This window comes from Homo sapiens, chromosome 8 (genome assembly GCF_000001405.40).
Source record: "Homo sapiens chromosome 8, GRCh38.p14 Primary Assembly".
Classification (NCBI taxonomy): domain Eukaryota; kingdom Metazoa; phylum Chordata; class Mammalia; order Primates; family Hominidae; genus Homo; species Homo sapiens.
The window spans coordinates 55,304,365-55,330,297 of NC_000008.11; the positions used below are offsets into that span (position 1 = coordinate 55,304,365).

Here is a 25,933-nt window from a genome sequence, read left to right on the forward strand (position 1 = left end):
TTTGTTATAATTTGTGTTCTTTTACATTTGCTGAGGAGTGCTTTACTTCCAACTATGTGGTCAATTTTGGAATAGGTGTGGTGTGGTGCTGAGAAGAATGTATATTCTGTTGATTTGGGGTGGAGAGTTCTGTAGATGTCTTTTAGGTCCACTTGGTGCAGAGCTGAGTTCAATTCCTGGGTATCCTTGTTAATTTTCTGTTTAGTAGATCTGTCTAATGTTGACAGTGGGGTGTTAAAGTCTCCCATTATTATTGTGTGGGAGTCTAAGTCTCTTTGTAGGTCACTAAGGACTTGCTTTATGAATCTTGGTGCTTCTGTATTGGGTGCATATATATTTAGGATAGATAGCTCTTCTTGTTGAATTGATCCTTTACCATTATGTAATGGCCTTCTTTGTCTCTTTTGATCTTTGTTGGTTTAAGGTCTGTTTTATCAGAGACTAGGATTGCAACCCCTGCCTTTTTTTGTTTTCTATTTGCTTGGTAGCTCTTCCTCCATCCCTTTATTTTGAGCCTATGTGCAGACACTTTATTACCAGAGGCAGAAATGATAAGCTTCATCATAACAGAAAAGAGATAATAACAATAAGATTATTAAACACTTGAAGAAAATAACTGAATTCAAAAATACTTATTTATATTAATGTAAGACTATGAAACAGATTACAATCAGAAATGATGGGAGAGAGAGGCACCCAGATTGGGCTCAGCCAGTGGCGATGGGACTACAGGGGAAAGGTCTAGAACCCACTGTTCTGTATAGCAGCCACTGGCCTTACATAGCTATACAAACTTACATTTTAATTAATGATCATTAAAATTCAATTCCTTGCAACACTACATGCCAAAGATTCAATAGCCACAGGTGGATGTGGCTACTATATTGGGCAGGTCCAATACCAGACATCTCTGTCATTACAGAAAGTGCTGATGGCGTTGTGCCAGCAGGGGAATCTCATATGTGGCAGGGTGGGCCCCAGTTCTCCTGGAGTGAGTATTCCTGGACACCTGATTGCTCTAGGGACCCAGAGAAAGGAGGGGGTCACCGGAAGGCTACAGAGAGACTTCTCATCTCTTACTCCCAAATTAGCCTAAAAAGGTCAAGCTTTTCTGCTTGTTAGAGTGAAGCAAATACTGGACTGGAAGGCAGAAGATTCAGTCAAGTTCATACGTGCCTTGAGTATGTCACTTAGCATGTCTGATTTTTAGACTTTATCTATGTAAATTGGGCATAATAATATTAATACTTCACAATGGCAATGAGGATTAAATTTGACATATTTTATAAAATTACTGATTAGCTTAACAAACACAGCACTGTATAAATATTAGGACTGATGCTGGTGATGTTGGGGAAATTAGCCTAATGAGGTTCTAGCAGTTCTCATTCCCAACCCACCAAGCTCAATGCCCTTCCAATCACTGAAGGAAAAATATATGACTTGTATATTGATCCATGAAATGATCTTACCATTGCCCCTCAATAAAAATAAAACTCTTTCCTACCCCCAATTAGATATCAAAAGCTTTAAATTCTTAATTTTAATGGTAGATGTACCATGTAAGTAAAAGTTAGTTTCAGTGTATTCAACCAAGAAATGTAGGTAAATTGTTTAGTTTTCTCTCTTCTGATTAAGAGAAACTAACAAAAGGGGCTGAAGGGATCAGGTGAAAGATAAGATTTAGATGATGCTTGGAGAAGGCAAATTTTACAAACCACAATTTTGTTTAAAGTGGGGTGTATTTACCTGCTCCTAAACAGAGATGAAAAAAACTGTGCATTTTTGTCCAAAAGCTGTGCATGTGGGCCGATAAACTGAACATGGTTTATAAACATTGAAATGGGTGGTAGGCTGTTTTCATTTAAGGAAATGCTTATTGAAGCTTCATTGTACTTTGCTATTTAGCATCTCCTGCAGGTAGCTATCCAGCTTTCAAGTACAGAGACACAGCAAAAAAGGTCAATGTAACTAAGACTAAGAAAAGCAGCTCCTAAAACAGTACAAAAAGGGTCCATATGGAATCATGACATGGTGATTTGTCCATTTTCATGCTGCTGATAAAGTATACCTGAGACTGGACAATGTACGAAAGAAAGAGATTTAATTAGACTTACAGTTCCATGTGGCTGGGGAAGCCTCACTATCATGGCGGAAGGCAAGGAGGAACAAGTCACATCACATGGATGGCAGCAGGAAATAAAGAGCTTGTGCAAGAAAACTCCCACTTATAGTAGCCATCAGATCTCATGAGATTTACTCACTATCATGAGAACAACATAAAGACCTGCCCCCATTATTCAGTTACCTCCCACCAGGTCCCTCACACAGCACGTGGGAATTCAAGATGAGATTTGGGTGGGGACGCAGCCTGACCTTATCACATGGTATAAAAGGTAATGGATTCATATAAGTGCTCAACTGATTTTTGGCAAAGGTACAAAGGCAATTCAATGACAGAAAGATAGCCTTGGAGATGGAGCAATTGGTGGTAAGATGGATTTCCATATGCAAAATCCAAATTCTCTTGAATTACTATTTAAGGTGTGAGAGCAATTGGACATCCATATGCAGAAAAAAAAAAAAAGAGCCTCAACCTAAGCCTCACACCTATACACAAATTAGATCAATACAGATCACAGACTTAAATGTACATTTTAAACCTATACACTTTTAGAAAAAAAAATAGGAGAAAATATTTGAGACCTAGGACTAGGCAATGAGTTCTTAGATTTGACACCAAAAGCATGATTCAGAAAAGGAAAATTGATAAATTGGACTACATCAAAATTAAAAACATTTGCTCTGTGGAAGACTCTGCTAAGGGGATGAAAAGACATGCTGCGGACTGCGAGAAAATATTTGCAGACCAGATACCCAACAAAGGACTAGTTCCTAGAAGTTACAAAGAACTCCCAAACTCAACAGTCAAAAAACAAACAACCTAAGTACAAATTGGGCAAAAGACAAGAAGAAACATTTTACTAAACAGCATATACAGGAGGGGTGCAGTGGCTCACACCTGTAATAATCTCCCAATACTTTGGGAGGCCAAGGAGTGAGGATCACTTGAGCCCAGGAGTTCAAGACCAGCCTGAGCAATATAGGGAGACACTATCTTTACAAACAATAATTTTAAAAATTAGCCAGACATGGTGGCACATGTCTGGTCCCAGCTACTTGGGAGGCTGAGGTGGAAGGATCGCTTGAGCCTGGGAGGTTGAGGCTGTAGTGAGCTGTGATTGTACCACTGCATTCCAGCCTGGGTGACAATGAGGCCTTGTCTCCAAAAGAAAAAAGAGAATCTATAGATGGGTAGTAAGCTCATGAAAAAATGTGCAACATCTTCAGAAATTAGGGGAGTACAAATTAAAACCAAAGTGAGATATCAACATACACCTATCAAAATGGCTAAAATTAAGAACAGTGACAGCAGCAGTTGCTGGCAAGGATGTGAAGAATCCAGATCACTTATACATTGCTGGTGGGAATGGAGAATGGTAGAGCCACTCTAGCAAACAGCTTGGTAGTTTGTTATAAAACTAAACTAAATACAGTTATCATATGTATTAGTCCATTCTCACACTGCTATAAAGATACTACCAGAGGGCCAGGCATGGTATCTCATGCCTGTAATCCCAGCACTTTGGGAGGCTGAGGCGGGCAGATCACGAGGTCAGGAGTTCAAGGCCAGCCTGGCCAACATGGTGAAACCCCGTCTCTACTAAAAATACAAAAATTAGCTGGGCATGGTGGCATGTGCCTGTAGTCCCAGTTACTCGGGAGGCTGAGGCAGGAGAATTGCTTGAACCCGGGAGGCATAGGTTGCAGTGAGCCGAGATCGTGCCATTGTGATCCAGCCTGGGCAACGCAGCAAGACTCCATCTCAAAAAACAAAAATGAAAATAAATAAATAAAGATACTACCAGAGACTGGGTAATTTATAAAGGAAAGAGGTTTAATTGACTCACAGTTCTGCCTGGCTGGGGAGGCCTAAGGAAACTTACAATCATGGTGGAAGGCAAAACAGTCACCTTTTTCACAAGGCAGCAGGAGAGAGAGTGTGTGTGAAGGAGGAACTGTCAAAAACTTATAAAACCATCAGATGTCATGAGAACTCACTATCACAAGAACAGCATGGGGGAAACTGCCCCCAGGATCCAATCACCTCCCACCAGGTCCCTCCCTTGACACGTGGATATTATGGGGATTACAATTTGCTATGAGATTTGGGTGGGGACACAGAGACAAACCATATCACCATACAATCTAACAATCTGAATCTTGAGTATTTATATCAGAAAAATGAAAATTTGTGTTCATATAAAATCCTGTACCTGAATGTTCATAGTGGCTTTATTTGAAATAATCCAGAAACTGGAATCAGCCCAGACATCCTTCAACAGGTGAATAATGCCCCTCTCAAAGATGTCCACATCATGATCCCTGGAACGTGTGAATATGCTATAGTATATGGCAATGGCAAATTAAAGTTGCATGGAATTAAGATTGCTTATCAGCTGTCCTGGAAATGGAGAGATTCTCCTGGATTTTCTGAGTGGTACCAGTGGAAGCTGAAGAGAGGAGGTTGGAATGTTGCAAGTTCAGAAAAGGCCTACCCTGTTTTTGCTGGTTTTAAAGAGGGAGGAAGAGGCCATAAGCCAAGGAATGCAGCAGCCTCTGGAAGCTGGAAAGGGCAAGGGAATGGATTCCTCCCTAGAGCCTCCAGGAAGAAACACAGCCCTGCCAACTCCTTCATTTTCACCCAGTGACACCAACACAAAAAGTTGTAAGTCACTTAGTGTGTGGAAATTCATTACAGCAGCAATCAAAAACTAATACACATACCATGGCACACTACTTAGCAATAGAAAAAGCACCAACACTCACAACAGATTGGATGAATCTCCAGAGAATTATACTGGGTGAAAAAACCCAGCCCTGAAAGATTACATACTATTTGATTCCACTTAAATCTCATATTTAATATGACAACATTTCAGAAATGGAGGAAAGATTTAGGGGTTGCAAAGAGTTTAGAATGGGAATGGAAGAGAAAGTGTGAGAGGGAATAGATGTCATTATAAAAGGGCAATATGGTATTTGTAGTAATGGAACTTTTCAGTATCTTGACTATAGTGGTGTATACGTGAACATAAATGTGTGATAAAATTGTATAGAATTTAATACACACAAGCACACAAATAAGTACAAGTGAAATGAGAGAAATATAAGTAAGATTGGTGGAGTGTTATCATGTCAATACTCTAGTTGAGATATTATATTATAGTTTTGCAAAATGTTACCATTAGGGAAAATAAGGCAAAGTGTACAAGAGATCTCTGTATCACTTCTTGCAGCTGCATGTGAATCAACAATTATCTCAGTACAATTTTTAATAAAGAATATTGTAGGAAATTGTTATCTTGCTGCTTATTATAGCCACGACTATGGATTGCCTTAGTTAAAACCTAGAATGTAGGGACAAAGCTATCTAATTCGCTTGGTACACTAGCTCCCTTGCCATCATTTGCTGCTAATCATTTAGAGGCTTTTCATTAATGATGATGATATGTCTGAATGTGCCTTATAGCAGAGAATGTTAACCTATTTATGAGGATCCTTAATTCAGGGGGTCCTTCATTCATCTGGAAACTCTAGTCAATATTTGTGTGTGCATGTGTGTCTGTGTGTGTGTGTGCATGTTTTTGAAGAAAACATGTATAACTTTCTAAAGGGCTCCATTACCCCCTCTAAAAAAAGAAGAAAAAGAAAAACACCAAGAGCCAAACTCCTTAGAAACACACTAAGTGTGAACTTAAAAATATATTTCTTTGGAGTGATTTAAAATAATGCTATGCACAACTGCGTCAATATTTTTAAATCGGAGAAAATATGCATGGTCTTTGGTAGAATGGGCTCCGGGGTCAGACTTCCAAGTGCGTGACCTTCAGCAAAGTCCTTATCCTTTCTAAGCCCCAGTTTTCTCATCTATAAAATGGGAAAAATAATACTTCCTATTTTATAGAACATTGTGAGTTTCAAATGAAACAATGTATATGTCATTTAGCATAGCACCTGACACGTGATAAGCACTCCATAAATATTAGCTTATTTCTGTTTACTATTGTGTTTAAAATGGGAAGATCTAAAGATTCAAATTATTCTTTTCAAAGTATCTTTTCAATATAATGGAATAAATGGCATATAATTTTGTAGAAGGGGCACTGGTGTTAGTAGACTTGTTCTGCCATTGGTTCCCTGAGTAAGTTTGGACAAGTCACACTCTCTCTGAGCCTCCACCATAACATAAGAGGGCTAAAAGTTTGGGTGTAAAAAGACGCTTGAATTAACTCAACAGACATTTATGGGAGTTCTTTATATGGTTTTCAGGTTGAGTTCCTCAGAAGCCGACCCTGAGTGGGAGATTCGTGAGAAAAGGTTTATTCCGGAATGCTCAGGAAAAACTTGGAGGAATAAAGAAGTGGGACAGGAAGGGGAAGAAAGGAAAGCAAAGACCCACAGAGGGTGTTATAGGGTCAATCCTTCAGAAAGCTCTAGAGAGACCACTAAGTCACCCTCAGCATCATCTCCACCTGGGAACTAGGGTGCTTATATCCCCACTGCAGCTGGTTATTATTTAAGGGCAGTCCACACTCGCATGAATTCCCAGGCACTACCTGCTCCATGTGTGAGCCAGCTGAGCAAATTCCAGCTGCCTGAGGGCAGCCTTCTGGCAAAGATTTGCAACAGTTGGCATTTTGGGAGTGAAAGCCCACAGGGAGCTCATGTGCCTCGAATTGGTAAAGGGACCCAAGGGAAAACCAGCAGAGCAATGACAGCATATGCAAGCTCTCAGAGCCTTCCTCTGCCTTCATGGATGACACTCACAGTGTCATGGGGAAACACATGAGCAGCCACACAATTGCTAAAGAACTCCCAGGAGAGGGCCTCAGTTCAGCCTGGAGTGTCAGAGAGGGGCTCAGAGGGCCCCCAGGAGCAAATGAAGACAGAGAAATAATTAGTCAAGCAAAATAGGGAAGTGGTGAGAGGGTCCAGCCAGCTGAAGAGAGCATGATACTCAAGGAATTAAAATAAGCCCAGTGTAACCAGATCAAAGGAGCGGGGCAGCTGGAGATGTGGCTAGAAGGTGAGGGGAACCCAGATCATGCAGTGAATCAGGTGAGTTAATTTGTAGGCTCTTAGGGTCTAACACAGTTTGTTACAGACAAGTATCATAGCTAAGAAAAGGGTACAAATTTCTTAATATACAATGGAAATGATAGCCTAGTTTCCTATTAGCATCCCCAGGTTATAGAGAAAAAAGTCATTGGGGACATATCATCATTTTTAAAGAATTGAAGTTGGGTAGATTTAAAATTCTTTTTATTTCCTTTGCATGCTGGAAGGTAAAAGAAAAGTCATATAGAACCTAAAATAACTGAAACTGTCTCTGTAATTTAGCAAAAAAAAAAAAAAAAAAAAAAGAAAAGAAAAAGAAAAGAAAAAACTAAACACAAGAAGAGCTTCTGCAGTTGATTATGTCAATAAAACCCTGGCTTCTCCTTGGTCTGCAGTCCAGAGTCATCTACCAGCTACTGAATTAAAAATTAAATCAGTAGATTCTGGTTAAATTTGCTCTGAAACAGCCTGTTCTAGCACCATTTAATTTCATGGTCAAATGAGGATAATTATTCTAAAAAGCTTCCAGCCATGAGGTTCTTGTGATTTTTTAGTTAAAAATGTGGCCACTTTGAACCCTGTTCTGTGATTTTTAGATGTGGATACAATGAAGTTTTTGCCTTTATTCACTCTGACTCTGTTTTTTTTTTTAATGAGAAAAATCAGCACTTTCCATCTGAAAATAGGAGATTAGACCAGGATATTTCTATCAATAGAGGTTACTAAACCATTTCCTCAAGTTAATAAAATATAATAACAAAAATTCATAGTTGCCAACTTATAATGACACCTTTGTCTTTTTCAAGGTTCATGGAATGAGAACTTTAAGTAATGAATTTGATATTTGTTTCCTTTATTTATATAGCCAATTACAAAGGCAGAATAAGAAGGCATATTTAAGAAGTTGATACAAACCCCACACTATGGTTATTTTTGCCACCTCGGAGATTCTTATCCTGGGATCCCAATTTAGCACTTTTGGTGAGATTTAAACAATAAGTCTCTAAATAGTCAAAACTGCAGGCACTTTAGGGAATGATCATTGGAATTTAGCATGAATACCAAAATTCTTTATGTTGGAATGTCGGTAGAACAATAGTCCATCATTGATGTAATTAACGCCCATCAAGATCTTATTTAGAAGTATTCTCTTTTCATGAATTTTATGAGCATCTATTTTATTTGATGGTATTCTTTTCCTCTTTTGGGTTTAATTTAAATTTTTCTCATAAAACTGTCTCTAATCACTAGAATCCAAAGACAGCTATATAATCTAAGACCCTTTCTATCATCTTCTATTCATAGATGGCGTCAAGACAAGGAGAAAGAGACTGGACCCAGGTTGTTGTGGATCTTAGATGTGGACTCTGTCTCCTCCCTAGGATAGTTCTGAACTAGATTCTTTAAACAAGACAAAACATTTGATTAGTTTTTTCTTAAGGAACTTCATATGACACAGTTGTTTGGTTACATTATTCTGCTTCCTTTCTCTGGTTTTATAGCATTTTAATTGCTGTTTTAATCCTGTGTTTTATATAAAGCATCTATAATTCCCTTGGTGGATAGAAACCATAGAAGTAAAAAGTGTTATTATTATGCATTTCCCAGTCTGTTAGTGCTTTGATAGATTCCCTAATTCACTCTTCAAAAAAAAATTGCTATATACATTGTGTTCTTTTTACAACATTACTATCATGAGTAGGAGGAATATTTTAGGGTAGGATAAACAGTAATTGGCAAGGAGCTATAACATTGATTTGTACAAGCTTCATGTCCAATCCATTCTGAGGATGCTATTAGAGTAATGGGTGAAATGAAGGGAGTGCTGATTTGCTAAATTTACTTCGGGAAAAGATCAAAGTGGTGCTAGGGCTTTGGAGGCACTGCCCCTGGCAGTTTCCTGAGGTGCACTCTGGCCCTTGTGGAAGAAAGAGCACAAGTTACCCAGCGGCAGCATGCATGGTCTTTGGCCAAAAGAGGCCCAAGATGCTGAGAGAGAGAGCAGGGTACTCTGGAAGCCACTAGATGGGGGTGTCTACTTGTTCAGTCTGGGCAAATACCCCATCAACCAGCTGGCATGAAAGAAATAAAGGTTAAAATGAGGGTAAATTCCATATTCCTCAATGCCATTCTTTTACAGAAAGTGAACTGTGTTGAATGTCAAAAGCAACTTCGAGTCACCTGCTGCCTCCAGTGATTTGGCCTGGGAGGATAGCCACTGAGATCTTCTCATGCTGGGGTTTTGGGGGCTCTCGTTTGAAAGCAGCATTCCTCTGGGAAACCAATGAATACAGAATAACGAATTAGAATGGAGGTGAGGTAATTCACCAAGTTTTTCTGCAGAGTTATGAGTGTTTCTGACCTAGTCATTTAAACCCTGGACACCCACAGTTTCCTACCTTTTCAACGAACAGACTAATCTTTGTCCATCACAGCTACCAATAATAATGATAACTTATGATTTTATAAGCAATCTCCAAATGTGATCAGTCCTAAAATAAATGTATCTGAGCAGGAGGAGGGGCAGCAGAAGCAGCTACAATTTCAGGATTCATCCAGCACCAGATGGAAATTCCATCCTTTGGTTAAAATTCTTCTAAGACCTTGGCTGGCTTGTGAACTTGGCAGACCCAATTATTATAGCAATTAAGATTTTAAAATGTGAGTCAAATTATGAGCCAAACTCGTGCCAAAAGCTGGCAGACAGACACCCTGAATTTAGGTCAGGGATGTTGTTCCCTGTACCAGTGGTAATTCAATTACATCCCAGCCCCAGGCATGCAAGTTCCAACCCCAGGAGACCTGGTAGTCATAATAGGTCTTCTCTGGGCTAAAGAAACCCTGGGATGCCCATTCTGCCTGAGGCCCCCCCATCGCTGGGGCACCGACCTCAAGGAACAGCAGGAGAGGCCACCATTTGTCCCGACATTCAGCTCCCGGGGAAACCGCCGTGCTGAGACAAACACCTGTGAGGGCCAAATCTGCTTTGCTATATTTATTACAAAAAGACTCCTGGAGGACTGGCTGGTATTCTGATAAGAACTTGAAGGAGAAATACTTTTCTTTAAGAGTTAGAATTTTTTGACCACAATATTTGATTTTTAGCATTAAGTATTCTGAATTTAAACTACTAAAGAGAGAAAGAATGCGTGTGCACATTAGGGCAATTGGTAACAGGCTCCCAAAGTCTGGGAGCTAATCCCACCTCCCCGACCTAACTCTTGTGAGAGTCATTTCACACTCTGAACCTCAATTTTCCCATCCGCAAAATGGTGAGGATAAACTACATTCAAGAAGGGAAGGCCATTTCTTCTGCAGTGGCAGCTCAGTGTGGAGAAGGCTCTGTGGTTGGAGAGGTCCACATGGAATGTGTATCCAGAGGGACTGTGTTGGAGCCATGCTGACTGCAAGGACAGGAGTGGAGAGAGGGCAAAAACGCTGTGCATTTGCCGTTCCTAAACTAGGTGATTTCACGGTGTCATTTTCATTACAAATGATCTTTAAAACTATACATGCATTTCCTGAGTGTTCAAGTGAGAGAGCAGGTCCAGGTTAGAGCAATGTGTCAACTTGATACCTGAGTGGAATGGGACAGGGAGACCTATTTTAAATGACAGATACTAATTTTATTAGCAGGTAGCTTTAGCACTCATTCATGGACCAGCTGTTGTGTACACAGCACTATTCTGAGCTGCAAGGACACAGAGATAAGTAAGCCAGGCACTAAATGTCAGGTGTTCGGAGTCCAGCGGTTCCAGGGGAATTTTTGTAAATGCAATAAGTGGTTGGGTTTTCCGCCCAGCCTTGGTCAGTGTCCGTGAGGAGCATGTTCTTATTAATATTGCAAAATAAGTAAATAAGATGTGTGGCAGCGCCTAACCTGCTCTCTGGAGGACCTTCTGGAGAGGGCTGTTGCTGGCACTCCCACGCTGAGGCTGTGCCATTCCCAGGAGAGACTCAGCACCCGTTTGAATGGGAATAACTTGCCTGTAGTCCTAGCTAATTGGGATGGTGAGGGAGAAGGATTGCTTGGGTCCAGGAGTTCAAGGCCACAGTGAACTATGATCATGCCATTGTACTCCAGCCTGAGTGACAGAGCAAGACCCTGTCTCTAAAAACATAAAACCAAATGGAAAGAACTTTTTATGCTACAAAACCACCTCATTATGCCCATGCCTCGTCAGTCTAGAAAACCCCCAAGGTGTGTTTAATCAATGTTCTGTGAAAAGGAGAGAGTGGCTACCTATTCAAGAAACACTGGAGTTTTTAATGCACTTTCCATATTTTCCATGCTCTTCTCCAAGTAAAAACCTTAACACAGGAACATGATAGCATCTCTCTGAAAATCCTAAAAATTGTATGGACCCTCATGATTTAGTGTGATTTGAGCTAAAGGCAAGAAGACTCACTAATGAATCTCACAGAGTCCCTGCTACTCTGGGACTTAGATCTTAGCTGGTGGCTAGAAGAAGCCAAAAACAATCACCTACACCGTAAAAAATCATTGCAACATGAATTCAAAATTCAAATGAATGGAGTCTTAGCACCATAAAGGATTTTTCTAATTTCAGATGAACCCATTCAATGTGGCCCCCTCCAAAGTAACAGTGACAGCTCACGCTAATAATTTACAGTCTCTAAAGCACGTTCACAGCCATTTTATCTTATTTTGAAAATCTGTTGAGGGATGTTTCCTACCAAAACACCAAATCTTCCACATCTTGTGACCAGTAGCACCGATTCTCAGGCTGTGAAAAATAGGACAGTCACATCCGATCTCCAGCCTCACCGTGGTCCATCCCACTCTCCTCATTCATGATTCCTGGTATGTAGCGAGAAAGCCAAGGATGAGACAAATAGTTTTGGTTCAGGATTAAAGTCATGAGTTGTCTAGATATACTCCTTTTGTCAAAGGTGATTATAGCATAGATCTATTTAGGACAGAATCTTTGTTAAGAATATTTATGATTTACAGATGACATTGGAAGAAAATCACACATTGATTTTGGTTTAGAAAGATGGTTTACAGAACACAGTAGTGTTCTGAGACTATGTGATTGAGCTAACCCATCCAAATGTCCAGTTCCTCCCTTTTCCTCTGCCCCTTCCTCTGGCCTGCCCCACCACATCCCTAGATTGCAGCAAACCTATCTGAAAACCCAGTTTCCCCTTTACCTGGTTCCTTCCTCCGATCCACTCCACCCTTTCTCTACCGCAACCCCCAAGCATATTTGAGATGACTCAGAGGCATTATGGTTTGGACTGAATTAAAATGATGGAAACATAAAGGAATTCTTACACTGCTTGTATCTAATGAATTTCCCTGGTGCAAATTCAATATTAAATGCAGATTGAAGCTAAAATGGTCCTTAAGGGAATAACAGAAGTATATCGGATGTTAAAGGGACTTTTAATTAAAAGGAATAGCTGGCTGGGAAGCTTTTAATAAATATTTATTTTCAGTGGCTCAAAAAATAAGTCTCCCAGAGGAGGGCACCTACTACCTCTACTACCCTCTAAAATAAGAATTGTTTTTTATGCCAAAGTGTACATAGACATCTGTTCTGGAAACTTAACAGACTAGGAAAAAAAACAAAATTATAGTAATCATTAGCTTGCTTATTTCTGAAAGATTTTATAATCACTCATGTGAAATATTTACCTAAATTACTTGGCATTCTATCATAGATGATGAGTGAACAAAATAATTACTTATATCTAAAGTAGCATTGAATTAGTCTGAGTTTTGCATCTAATGTCCCCGAAATGATTGATCACAGGTAAACAAATAAAAAGCCCCTCCCCCCATTGGTTGTTATTTTTCTAACTTCAGATTTATTGTGTCTTTTTGAGGCTGGGGTTTTAGTCTATGTTTTTTGGGGTAAAGCTTTGATAAATTAAAATACCTCCTCACATTTCATTTTCATTAGAAAAAATAACTCATACTGCATCTGAGAAAGCAGGATTCATAAAATAAAGAGTTTTCATGCTAAATATTAACATTGGCTCTGATTTATTTATGGATAAGAGACAGTACTGTGGCATTTTCAGCTCAGCCCCAGCCTTCCAGCCAGTTGTCATGTCAGACCTCAGTCCATGCTAGGCCCAGGCAGTGATGGAGGGCTCAGTATCTGGAGGTCACCCCATTACTGTGAGTGACAGAGAACCACTGTGGACAACTCAGGCAGGACGTGGTCAACAAAAGCATGATGTCAAGAAAATACTGTGGAAATCACCCAGCAATACAGAGAGTTGATGATTGGCATAGGGGTCCTCATGACATAGGAGGTCCTAACATCAGGGGCTGAGACTCAGGAGCAGAATTCTGAGCCCAAGGAAGATGGCTTCAATCTAAGTGTAGTTGGAGAATCCAGAAAAAATAAAAATAAAAACCACTAAGAAAACAGATAGGAAGCCAGGTCATGAAATGGTAGTACCACACTGTAATTCATTCACAGGAACCAAGTAATAATCCAGTTTATTAGAACCAATGTTCAAGGTTGGACTGAAACCAGTAGAAAGTTAGCTTAATGCTAAGTTGCCTCAATTGTTGGCTTGAATCAATGTCTTCTGACACTAGATCATTTTAGGGTTACTGGGAGACAGGCAGGATGATCATTTATCTTGCAAGTATCTTCCTAAAAATTACCCTGACTGGCCTGAATCATTAGCCCATATCTTCCATTTTATAAAAATCATGACAAATAGGTACTATAAGAGCAGATAATCCTGAGGGAAGTCAAAAGTAGCATTATAAATATCTCAAACATCAATAAATGGTTGTTATGGAGTATTATAAAAATGCAGTGAAGTCTTTCTGTTCATGTCAATGAGAGTTTGTTGAACACCTACTATCAACTAGAAGAAGTACAGGAGGATTTGATGGCACAAACCAAACAATTTTGACCTCAGTGCCTCTTCTCTGTTCTCATTAGCAGTTTGTCCCAAACTCGACCAAACCAAAGTATATCTCTCCATGGCATAGACCCAATCCAGGGAGAAAGCAAAATGCAATTTTGCTTTGGGCTTGCATCACCTTTTTGTTAAATGAGATTAATGCTTGCTACCTGGAAACATTCATTGAGAACCTACTACCCTAACATTACAATGAATTTTTGGAGTACAAAGATGAATACAGAATGGTTACTGTATTGAAACAGCTAACAGTTCAAGTGGGAAAACATACACGCAGAACATTAGAAACAAACATACCTGCCCCCATCAGGCACGCAACCTCCAGAGCAGTGTTTCATATAAGACAGTGCTTCCAACTTTGCAGGAAAAGAGTTGTTATAAGTTTCTCTATTATCAGATGTGACAAATTAACAAGTAGGGCCATGTAGATCCACAACAAGAAAGAGTATTTGAAGACCTAAACAATTAATTTCAATATTAAAATTCAATAGTACAGGATAGCAATGTTCTAGTACAGTACCTATTGTCAAAGCAAAAGAGAGGTGCCTCCCATGAAATCATAAGTTGACTTTTGTTCATTTTCTTCTCTTTGTGGCAGCTTGTTCTCTCTGCAACTAATTTTTTCCATGGAAAACTATTAAGGTCATTGTGACATCCTGTGAAAAAGAAAAGAGAGAAATACACTGACAAAAATTCATAATCAAGTCAGATCAAAAGAACTCTTATATTACTTTTTTTTCCCTGTGATATTTTTCTTTAAAAAAATCAAAAGAAAAGTAAAACCTAGATCTACAAGTTGTGACTTGATACCTACAAGTAAGGTATAGTTTGCGATTTGTGGTTCTTTGGTAGATTTTAAATGGTTTACTACAGAAATGCAAAAGCATTATTCTTTGACCATTAACATAACATGAAATAAAAGGATCTAAATTCATTTCATGTATCAAATATGTCACTCTTTTGATGCACATACCATTGAACTCCAAAAGGTTATTGCAGTGAAGTCATTTGCGATGTTTCTAAAGGCCATTCCATTGTAAGGATAAAAAAATGAAGCAGTTATTTTCTAATTTACATTGATTCATGGGCAAGAAACTGTAACGTGCTGCTGGCCTTCAAAGATGAATATGTTGCAATCTTGTTTCTGGAAGAGCTTACAGTCAGAGGACACAACTATGAAATTCAAGGCACATCATAAAAAATGCTATAAAATATAATGCACATATTAATAATATAACAAAGTATGAAGGACCTACATTAGGCAAAAGCTATTTTCATCTCCTTTAGTCTTTACAATTCTAGGAAGTAAGTTATTTTTATTTTAGACATAAAGAAAAGTTACTTGGTGAGATGAAATAATTTTTCCTTGTTTTCTCAGTTAGGCAGTGGTAGAAATGAAATTCATGTGCATCTGATTGCAGGATCCATAATCTGTACTTTTTAGCAAAGAGTGTGGTCAAGAGGAGGGAGCATTAATTGAAGATGTAGAATAAGGGTGAACCTTAGCAGTAGCCGTTATGTCTTTCTCTCCCAGTTTCTTGCTGGAAAGGTGAAACTTACTTCTCTGTCCTCTCTCATTTTAGCACTTATTTTTCTTGCACCATCTCTTGCAGAACACAAGGGCTTAATAATTCAGCAGCCAGTGCGTTCAATGTGTTATATTACGTTAGGCAGGCTAGAAAGCCTTACTCTGTATTGATCTGAAAAACAGTCATTGAAAAGCAGTGCTCTAACAGTGCAAAACAACAGAGCTGACAGTTGGTTCAAACAATGAGTACTTTTAGTGAGAGGAAAAAAGTCAGAACTTGCTTGACTTCTGTACAACCTCAAGACCTCACCTGTTAGGCTCAGAACTTGCCCTGATAATATGTAGGAGTTAAAGTACTTACCTACCCTTAACTTCCTATCTGAAGGAAGGAAGAGATTTAAGTTCAATGTAAATTAACTCACTCATCACCAACAAAAGATACCCAATTGACGCTGAACCAACCAAGCTCTGAGTAGTAGCTTGTTTTGGAAAAGGGTAGAAGGGGGAGAAAGTTTCTGCTATTAGCATAAATACTATGAAAGCTCACGGTATTTGGCCTTCTTTTCACAAAAGTAGAAATGTTTTATCCAGATGTTAAATTAGGGGCATTATATTAGGTCTGCCTCAGATCCTAACATGATTTGTGGGGAGCATATCCTTCTTTTTTCATCTCCACTAAATATTGCTTGATTCCATTATGCCTGATTCTGGCAGTCTGCATGTATAACAGATACCAAATCATTTGTCAAACCCCAACTCAGTAGTAACCCTTTCTATAAAGTCAGACTCGGTTCCTTCACTGGCATGAGACACACCTTTCTTTGTGTTAGAAACATCAGAAACTACGACAGAAGGCTTCTGTCGTAGTTTTTTATGTATTGGTGTGTCTCCCTCTAAATTTAAGGTAGCCACAAACTCCTTGAATGAAAGGACCATTAATCTGTCTTCTCTTTCCTTCACTTAACTCTTTACCTCCCCCAAACATCCTTCTTTGCATAGAAGAGAAGAGCCAGATTGGAATCCCTCAGCCTCCCACCACCACACCTGCATCTTATCTCTGCTTGCCTCTCTTGTGCCCTGATAGAAACGAGGAGGTAAGCTTCCTTGCATCTAGGTCCAAACATTCTGCCTGGCTTTATTTTTGGTCATTGCCTCCTCCTGCCTTCTTATAACACCTAAACCACTGACTATCCCTCTTCTATTTTGCAGATTCGAGTTCTCTCTTCCAATAAATTCTTTGTCATTAGTTTCAACCCAGTTCCTCTCTCTGTTATTAAACTAAACAAAACAAAATCTTCCCTCAGCAGGCTCCTTAATCACCAGCTCCTCAGCCCTGTCTCTCTGGTCTTCTTTACAACATGAATTACTGAAAGTGTTGTCTACACTTATTGGTGCCATTTCTTAACCTTGACTTTCTGCTCAGCCTACCCCTCCCATGAACTACTTCATCAAAACAAAGCTGTTCTCACGGAGGGTGTTACTGAGTTCCAGGACTCATCTGCACCTGAGACTATAGACCCTGGCCTTGACTCTGGGACAGCATACTCTGTGCTTTCTCCTCTTCATAGTCTGTCTTCCTTGTAGACTCATCCTTCCCTACCTACTCATTAGAATTTTTACCTTAAATGGTGGATATTTTAAAAATGTATAAACTAGATGAAGGGCATCTAGCATTCAGCATATATTTGTGAACCCACCACCTATTAAAAACATATCTTGGGCCGGGCATGGTGGCTCATGCCTGTAATCCCAGCACTTCGGGAGGCCAAGGCAGGTGGATCATGAGGTCAAGAGATCAAGAACATCCTGGCCAACGTGGTGAAACCCCGTCTCTACTAAAAATACAAAAGTTAGCTGGGCGTGGTGGCACGCGCCTGTAGTCCCAGCTACTTGAGAGGCTGAGGCAGGAGAATCTCTCGAACACAGGAGGCGGAGGTTGCAGCGAGCCGAGATCATGCCACTACACTCCAGCCTGGTGACAGAGCGAGACTCCATCTCGAAAAACAAACAAACAAACAAACAAAAAATAACTTATCTTTACAATCTTTGACATCCTTCCTGACTTTCCCCAATTCCACCTTGCTTGTCTCCTCAGTGATAACCACTATTCTAAATTTTGTGTTCTTTATTCTTACACCATTCTTTATAGGTTTACCACATGCTTTTATCCCTAAGTAATTGCTTAATTTAGCATGTTTTTCAAATTTTGTATAAATGGATTCACGTTGCAAGTAGTCTTTCTTAACTCGCTTTTTCACTCGAGTATGTTTCTAAATCTCATTCACGTTCTTATTTATAGCTGTAGTTTCTCTATCTTTACCTGTATATAGTAATTCTTATGTCCATATGTATTTGAATGTGTCATCATTATGATTTATTTATTCATTCCGCTGTTGTTGAAAATTTTCCTGTTTCAAGTCATTTGCTAGTAAAAACAGCAACTATGAACATTATCATACATGCCATCTCTTACAAATGTTCAAACATTTCTGTGGAACAGACTTTTGCTTGAAATTGTGAAACCATAAGGCAGAAGCATTTCTAAATTTGCCTGATATTTTAAAATTATTTTCCAAAGAATTTTAACAATTTATACTCCTACCATTAGAGAAGACGAGTTCTCTTGCTCTATAATCTTACCAAACATGATATGGCCAGATATTTGTTTAAGTTTTACCAGTCAGATGAGTATAGAGTAGTATCTCATTAAGATCTTAATTTATACTTCCCTGCTAGAGTACGTGATATGTCTTTACATTATATTTGCATTTTATTTTTGTTCATTGATTTTGCTAACACTGTCATTTATCTTCTATTCTTTTTGTTGTAATATAGGAACAATCATATTATCTTTCAAAAATGGCAACTCTGTTTTCTATTGTCAATATTTACATCTTGTTTCTTTTTCTTGCATTCTTCCCGTGAGGACTTCCCGTATGTTGTTGAATAAATGTTGTAAAAATAGTCATCTTGTATTTTTTTCTCATATTAAAAAGAAATATTTCAACGTTTTGCCATTCAGTATGATGTTTTCTGTAAGGATTTTGCACTTACCATATATTAGCTTAAGAAATTTCTTTTATAGTTCTAGCTTGCTAAAATACTTTAAATCATGAATGGATGTTACATTATAACTAGTGATTTTTCTGCATTTATTGAGATGAGTATATAATTTTGCTTTTTAACATATATGTGGTAAATATTACTACTATTAATTTATGTGTGGTAAAATTCACTTTTTTTGGTGTAGAGTTCTATGAGTTTTGACAAAGGCACACAGCCCTATACTCATCATTGCAATGAAGATACAGAACAGTTCCATCTCCCAAATATTCAGTAGTGCTACCCCTTTGCGGTCAATCCTAACCCCAACTCTTGCCCTTGGCAATCACTGACCTGTTTTTTTCTCTCTATAGTTTCACCTTTTCCAGAATGTCATATAAATGGAATCATACAATATGCAGCTTTTGAGACAGGCTTTTTTCACTGGAAACTTGAGATTTGAGATTTAGCCATGTTATTGTGTTTATAAGTCCTCTGTTCCTTTTTATTGCTAAGTAGTATTCTATTGTGTGGATGTACCATTTGTCTATCCATTCACCAGTTAAAGGACATTTGGGTTGTTTCCAGGTTTGGGTAATTTTGAATAAAAACCTCTGTAAATGTGTATGTGCAGGTTTGTATATAATTCTGTTTATTTCTCCTGTGTAAATACCAAGAAGTGGGATTTCTCAGTATGAGACTGTGGAACATTGTTCTATGTGTCCTTAATGCTTTGTTCATTTCAGCCCCCTCTCCAAGTCTTTTTTTGTCTTTGTTCTTCACATTGGATCATTTCTATTGATCTGTCTTCAAGTTCACTGACTTCTCTATTATCACTATTCCACTATTGTCTAGCCATTTTTTTTAAATTTGAGATATTGTGTTTTTAAGTTTAATATTTCCATTTAGTTCACTTTTTATTCCTCTGCTTTCATTCCTCTGCTAGGAATGTCAACCTTTTCATTTACTTAAATGTGTTTGCCTTTATCTTATATAGTACAGTTATAATAGTCATTTTAATATTTTTGATAATTCTAACATCTGGGTTATCTTAGGGTTGACATTTTTTATTGTCTTTTTTTGAGACAAGGTCTTGCTCTGTCACCCAGGCCAGAGTGCAGTGGTGCAAATGCTGCTCACTGCAGCCTCAACCTCCTGAACTCAAGCAATCCTCCCACCTCAGCCTCATGAGTAGCTGGGCCTACAGGGGCAAGCCATCATGCCTGGCTACTTTTTTAATGTTTTGTAGAGACAGGGTCTTGCTACATTGTCCAGACTGGTCTCAAAATCACAGGCTCAAGCAATCCACCCACCTTGGCCTCCCAAAGTGCTGGGATTAAGTGTGAGCCACCGCACCCAGCATTTATTTTCTTTGCCCTTAAGAAGTGGCCACATTTTCCTGGTTCTTGAATGTCATGTAACTTTAGATCATATCCTAGACACTGTGTACTGGTCCTGTTATTATCCTCTGAAGTACACATGTTCTCATTATTATACAAACATGCCATTTTCCTCTGACCACGAAGTTTTGCTCAGTGCTCTATTGACCTAATGCCTTTCCCTTTATCTCTTCATTTCTACTTATGGCTTAACTCACTGTAGGGGAAAACTATCATTTATTAAGTTCCTGATATGCATTTGATTTTGTGTTAGAATGCAGTGTTCCAATTAAGGGATATGTGTATGTCTAATTTCTGTAGGAAGAGGCTGAGACTAGGGGACAGGAAATAACTTTTCCAAGATCACATAGATATTAAGAGTCAGCACCAGGTTTCAAACTCAGCAAACTCTGATTCAAAAATCCATTCCTTTACCACTACCTCTCCCAACTTCATGAAACCTTCCCTTCCCATATCAAACTTTAAAATAACTTTGCCTCCTATACAAATATTTTACCACCTTTCTCATCACATAATTCTACAGGGTCACTGATTGTTTAATGTATATCTAATTCATTCAGTAAGAATTAAGGATCCTTGACAGTCAAAACTGAGTCTTCTATTTCTTTTACATACCTTTCAAAAGATGGACCATGTATTTTATGTGCCACAAAATTTATGTGCCACAAAGTAGATGTTAAGTAAATGCATATCAAAGAGATTTTAAAAAATAAATAAAAACCTAGTTAAAGGGTAAAATATGAGGCGTAATTTTAGCACAAAGAATAGACCATTTGGAAGATGTTAGTGTTGCTGTGCTATAATCAGAAAACAAAAATGGAGAAGAAACTGTTTTAATTAACCCTCCTATACATTTGCCTATAGATGTATTCTGAGCTTAATGGATTGGGCTTAATTATCTATACTGCACTAACCTTTGAATGGGCGTCAGGGCTTTCTCACCTCAGGGATTTCTTCCACTCATCTCTTGAATTTCCAAGCAGGGGGGCAGAAAGATGAGTTGTGACCCCAAATCTTCCACTGATTTACTGTATTGGCATGAGCAAATAATTTACCCTGCGGGGTCTTCAGTTAATTTTAAAACTAAAATGAGGAAAACAACTCTTAAATGTCTCCTTTGAATTTGAATGTAAATAAAATATGCTAAACCTAAAGAGCTTTGAAGACTTCTAAGAAAAGCTTTACATAAGCTTCCTTTATTTCTATTTTAAATATTATTTTTTCTTTCCTAAATAATTTTAAGAAGATTCAAGAAGAGGTGACAAGATGTCAAGATATGGCTCACTCCCCCATCATTGTTAGACATAATTTCCTGTCTTCCTGGCCCCAAATGTTATCACTGTGAGGAACAATTGTTTAAAAATTGTCTATGTAAGAGACACTATACAAATGGATTCTATGGGGAAATTTTTACAAAAGAATAAGACCTGGTAATTCCTCTCTAAGAAATTGATATATAGTTGAGGAGATAAAACTTGTTCAGACAGAAAGGAAACTGTTATATAAGGTGGAATATAAATTTCAAATCAGTAGCATAAATGTGCCAGGGTTTATGCAATAGAGATAAGGATGAAGTATGGATTAAGCCAATTGTTTAGCCTGTGATTTTGAATGCCAAACCGAAGAATGTGGGCTTGATCCTGTAGACAACAGAGGCACTGAGGACTTCTGAATTGCGAATGACCTGATAATGAGGGGTATTTTGGAAGATAAATACAGAGGAAAGAATACCGGAGACAGGCAGACCTGTTAGTATACTGCAATTGTTCAGGCAAAAAAATCATATACACCTGGGTGGGGATGTTGGCGATTGTAATAATCACCATTTGTTTAATGCCTACTATGCCAGGCCCTGTCATGAGTGCTTGACATAAATTCTAGTTCTCACAATAACCAGGCATGATCAGTGTTGTTGTTTTATCTTGCAGATGAAGAGTTTCAAAGTGCTTATGTGATTTGTTTAACGAGATTATAAATTAAGTCTCTCTGGTTTGTAAGATATACTACACAATATTCCCCTCAACTGATTTTTTTTCCTTTTTTTTTTTTTTTTTTTGGAAACAGAGTTTTGCTCTGTCACCCAGGTTGGAGTGCAGTGGCCCAATCTCGGCTCACTGCAACCTCCACCTCCTGGACTCAAGTGATCCTCCCACCTCAGCCTCCTGAGTAGCTGGGACTACAGGCGTGCACCACTGTGCCTGGATAATTTTTGTACTTTTTATGGAGATGAGGCTTCACCATGTTGCCCAAGCTGGTTTCAAACTCCTTGGCTCAAGCGATCTGCTCACCTCGGCCTCCCAAAGTGCTGAGATTACAGGTGTGAGCCACCACATCCAGCCTACAACTGGTTTAAAAGTTGTGAAAGTTAGGCGGATTTGAGTTATGAGCTTAGGCAGCAAGATTATATTTGAGTTTTTATGCCTAATTAATTTGACTTTTCAAGGAGAAGACGGCCTAAAGAAGCCAGAAAATAAATGTGGCCAGTGGTCAAATGTGGGATCACAAGATGATTTTGAGGGACAATGAGGAAACCTCTCTCCCTTGCTTCTTTATGCTTGAAGTCATCTTATTCGAGAAAAAGACCTCGGAGGCTGGTAGCCTCAAGAGCAGAAACACAATCACTTAAGATCGTTGCAAGGCGTTTATGAAACATGTCAGATCATTCCAAATGCTTTTGTCTAGCTTGTCCAGAAATCAAAGCATAAGGTCAGTAGGCACCTAAATGAGAGGAACAGGGAAATCATTAGCTTCATAATCATTGTAAACAATTTATAATCATTAACATTACCTCACAATTTGGTTAGAAGTGACCTTTTAAAGTCAGGGCACTTTTATTGAAGTCGCTAGGTTTTCTCCCCCATTTAGAAAAATAAAATGTTTATAATATATGCTCAAAATTCATCTCTTCCTTTGAAGAAAGCCAAAAAAAAAAAAACTTTTTGTTTGGATGGCATCTTTTATGCTATCCCCAAATCAAGAGTGTGAAGGAAAGTAGGTGCTCATAAAGTACACAAACTACTCAAATACCCTGTTTAAGGCAGTTTCTCTTTCAATTTCTAACCATATCATTTATTCATTGCTGGAGATGGCACAGAGGTCAAACTAGAGTTAAAATAAGCCTAATGCATAATAATTCTAATTATTATAGTTCTAAATTGCTTCAAGGTTGTATTTTGCTGGAGCCATACTTGAATGAGACCTTGCAATCAAATAGTATTTGTGTCTTTTAATACATATAAGTATAGCATGTCTTTTCAGTGATTGTCTTAATGTTAATTAACATTCTTTGGTCATAAAGAACCATATTTGACAGAAGAATTTAGCAAAATATCTGGGTAAAAAGAAATGTTCTCTAGAATAGCTTTGACTTTTGTGACATTTTACATGGAGAAAAATAAAGTCTGTCCAACCTTTCAACCAGAACAAATAAGATGCTAGTTGCCAAATTCACATGGATAACTCTAGCAGCAAAAAATTAGATACAGCTTTGTGATAAAAATGCTAGTATCTAGTGGTGATGATGTCAACCAAATCTTAGAAAAGTTCACATTCTTATGGTTATTTGTATTAGTCTTTTCCAACACTGCTATGAAAAAATACCCGAGACTGCATAATTTATAAAGAAAGAGGGGAAATGCCAGATGCTTATAAAACCATCAGATCTCATGAGACTCACTCACTATCAAGAGAACAGCATGGGGGAAACCACCCTCATGATCCGATTACCTCCACCTGGTCCTGCCCTTGACACGTGGAGGTTACAATTCAAGATGAGATTTTGGGTGGGGACTCAGTCAAACCATATCACTATTGATTGAATTTTTCATATGTGGGCTTCAAGTTAAAGGCCCATACATAATATTACTGAAACAGTACATGGTGAATAAGGAAGAGGCAGCCCCTGTCTTCAGGTAGTCCACCTTCACCAAAACATAACATCAGTGTCCCAAACATGAGATACCATGCAAGTGCTATATAATTATTCCTAATGGATCATTGTCTTGAGATGCATCTCCTCACTCCCCACATCCTGTCCTTTGGAAAGTGTGGTCACTTTGACCTTCTGAAGGCCTTCAGCCCATCTAATTCCTTTCAACCTCACTACCATGACCTCTTACTTGAAGAGCACAACAGCTTCACCTGTGTTTCCTGCAATCCAATCTCCTCAGAGTAGCAATTAGATGGGTTCACATTGCACAGAGAGCAGAGCCCAGCCCCTGGCTCCCTCCAGTTTCAATTGCTGTCGCTCATAGTGATGCCACCGCATGACCTTTTTTCTAGTCTTTGAATGTGCCTCACTCAACCCAGATTTAGCCCCTTGTGCTTGCACTGCCTGCAGCTCCCTTCCCTGAATCTTCACAGGGTTGGCAGTGCCATTTCTTTCGGATCTCAGCTTTACTACCCCCTCCTCAGAGAACCTGTCCTTAACTACCCAATCTAATTTACCACCAACACCCACCATGTTTTCTTTTCTTCATAGAAATTATCAATTATCTTGTTGGTGTGTTTGCTCATGGTCTCTCCTCCACTACCTCGCAGACACCCTGGCACAAGGGTCCCTGATTCTCTTGTCCACTGCTCTGTCTCCAGTGCCTAGATCAGTTCCTGGAACAAGGTGGCCCCTCAGTGAATATGCATTGAATCTTCATAACAATCCTGATTTAATAGTGTTGTGTTTTCTTTTCAACCGTGAAACTTGAGTTCCTAAATCTCATGCCCCTGCCCCTGCCCCAGGATAGTAGAACTCAGAGTTGATATATTTAAATTTTGTGAAGAAAAATAGAATGAGGAAAAAGTTGAGAAAAAGGGAGACTACAGTTCCAAATTAGCCTATAGAGTCTTAAGCTTGTTTAACCCAATGCCCACAGCTGCATGTAGCCCAGGACGGCTCTGCATTGCTGCCCAACACAAATTCGTAAACTTTCTTCAAACATGAGATTTTTTTTTTTGCACTTTTTTTTTTTTAGCTCATCAGGTATCGTCAGTGTTAGTATATTTCATGTAAGGCCCACAACAATTTTTCTTCTTCCAATGTGGCCCAGGGAAGCCAAAAGATTGAACACCCCTGGTCTACATAAATATTCTACATGGACTAAGTTTCAGCAATAAAAGTAATACACTAAATAAAAGGGAACATAATCACATTTGACATGTCTTAACTTAGTAATTAGAGATTCTAAATACCTAGTTCTTGTTTACTGGCGTGTACTTCCTAGGCTTTCTGTAGGAACTCCTTCCCTTGTTCCTTCTCTAAAATGTATTGAGGTTTCCAAGTTCCATATGTTATAAGGCTTTGTTTAATCCACTCATGCAAATAAATCCTATTGTTTTATCATCAAGAAGTATACAAGAACATTGCTGTGTGTTTCCCTGTCTATGCCCACTTTCGACTACCAAAAGCACAATCACCCCAGTACATGAGGCAGCATGATGTAATGGAAGATACTAGGCATAGAGGTTTGGTTTAAATATGAGTCTACCACTCTCTTGTTTTCATTTAATCTCTCCAAGCTTCAGGCTCCATATGGAAAATAAGAATAATAACTAATTCTCAGGGTTAATTCTAGGATTATGTGAACAAATATATATAAAGGGACTTTATGAATTGGGTGTGGTTATAAATATAAGGAGTGTCATCATCATCAGTATTATCGTCAGCAGCAGCACTATCACCATCACCATATTTGAGCTGGATCAGACATTACTGGTGATTTTTAATTGACATATAATATTTATCTTCTACCAGAACCAGTCTCAAAAACCAATAAGGCAGTGTAGGTAAGCAGTTAAAAGCATGGGCATGATAATCAAACCTACTTGAGTCTAAAGCCCAGCTGTGCCACTTACTAGGTAGGGGACTTCTCTC

General features: G+C 38.7%; 1 protein-coding gene across 1 annotated transcript in view, besides 1 other annotated feature; it reads left to right on the plus strand.

The window, feature by feature from the left end:
• XKR4 (XK related 4) overlaps positions 1-25,933 on the plus strand; it is a 440,027-nt gene that overhangs the window by 202,337 nt on the left and 211,757 nt on the right. The window lies entirely within an intron of this gene.
• Positions 9,164-9,665: an enhancer, noted in NCBI's record as "NANOG hESC enhancer chr8:56226088-56226589 (GRCh37/hg19 assembly coordinates)". NCBI's record gives its function as "activates a minimal SCP1, AML or CMV promoter by ChIP-STARR-seq in primed H9 embryonic stem cells {active_cell/tissue: H9 hESC(primed)}" and the evidence as "EXISTENCE:reporter gene assay evidence [ECO:0000049][PMID:30033119]".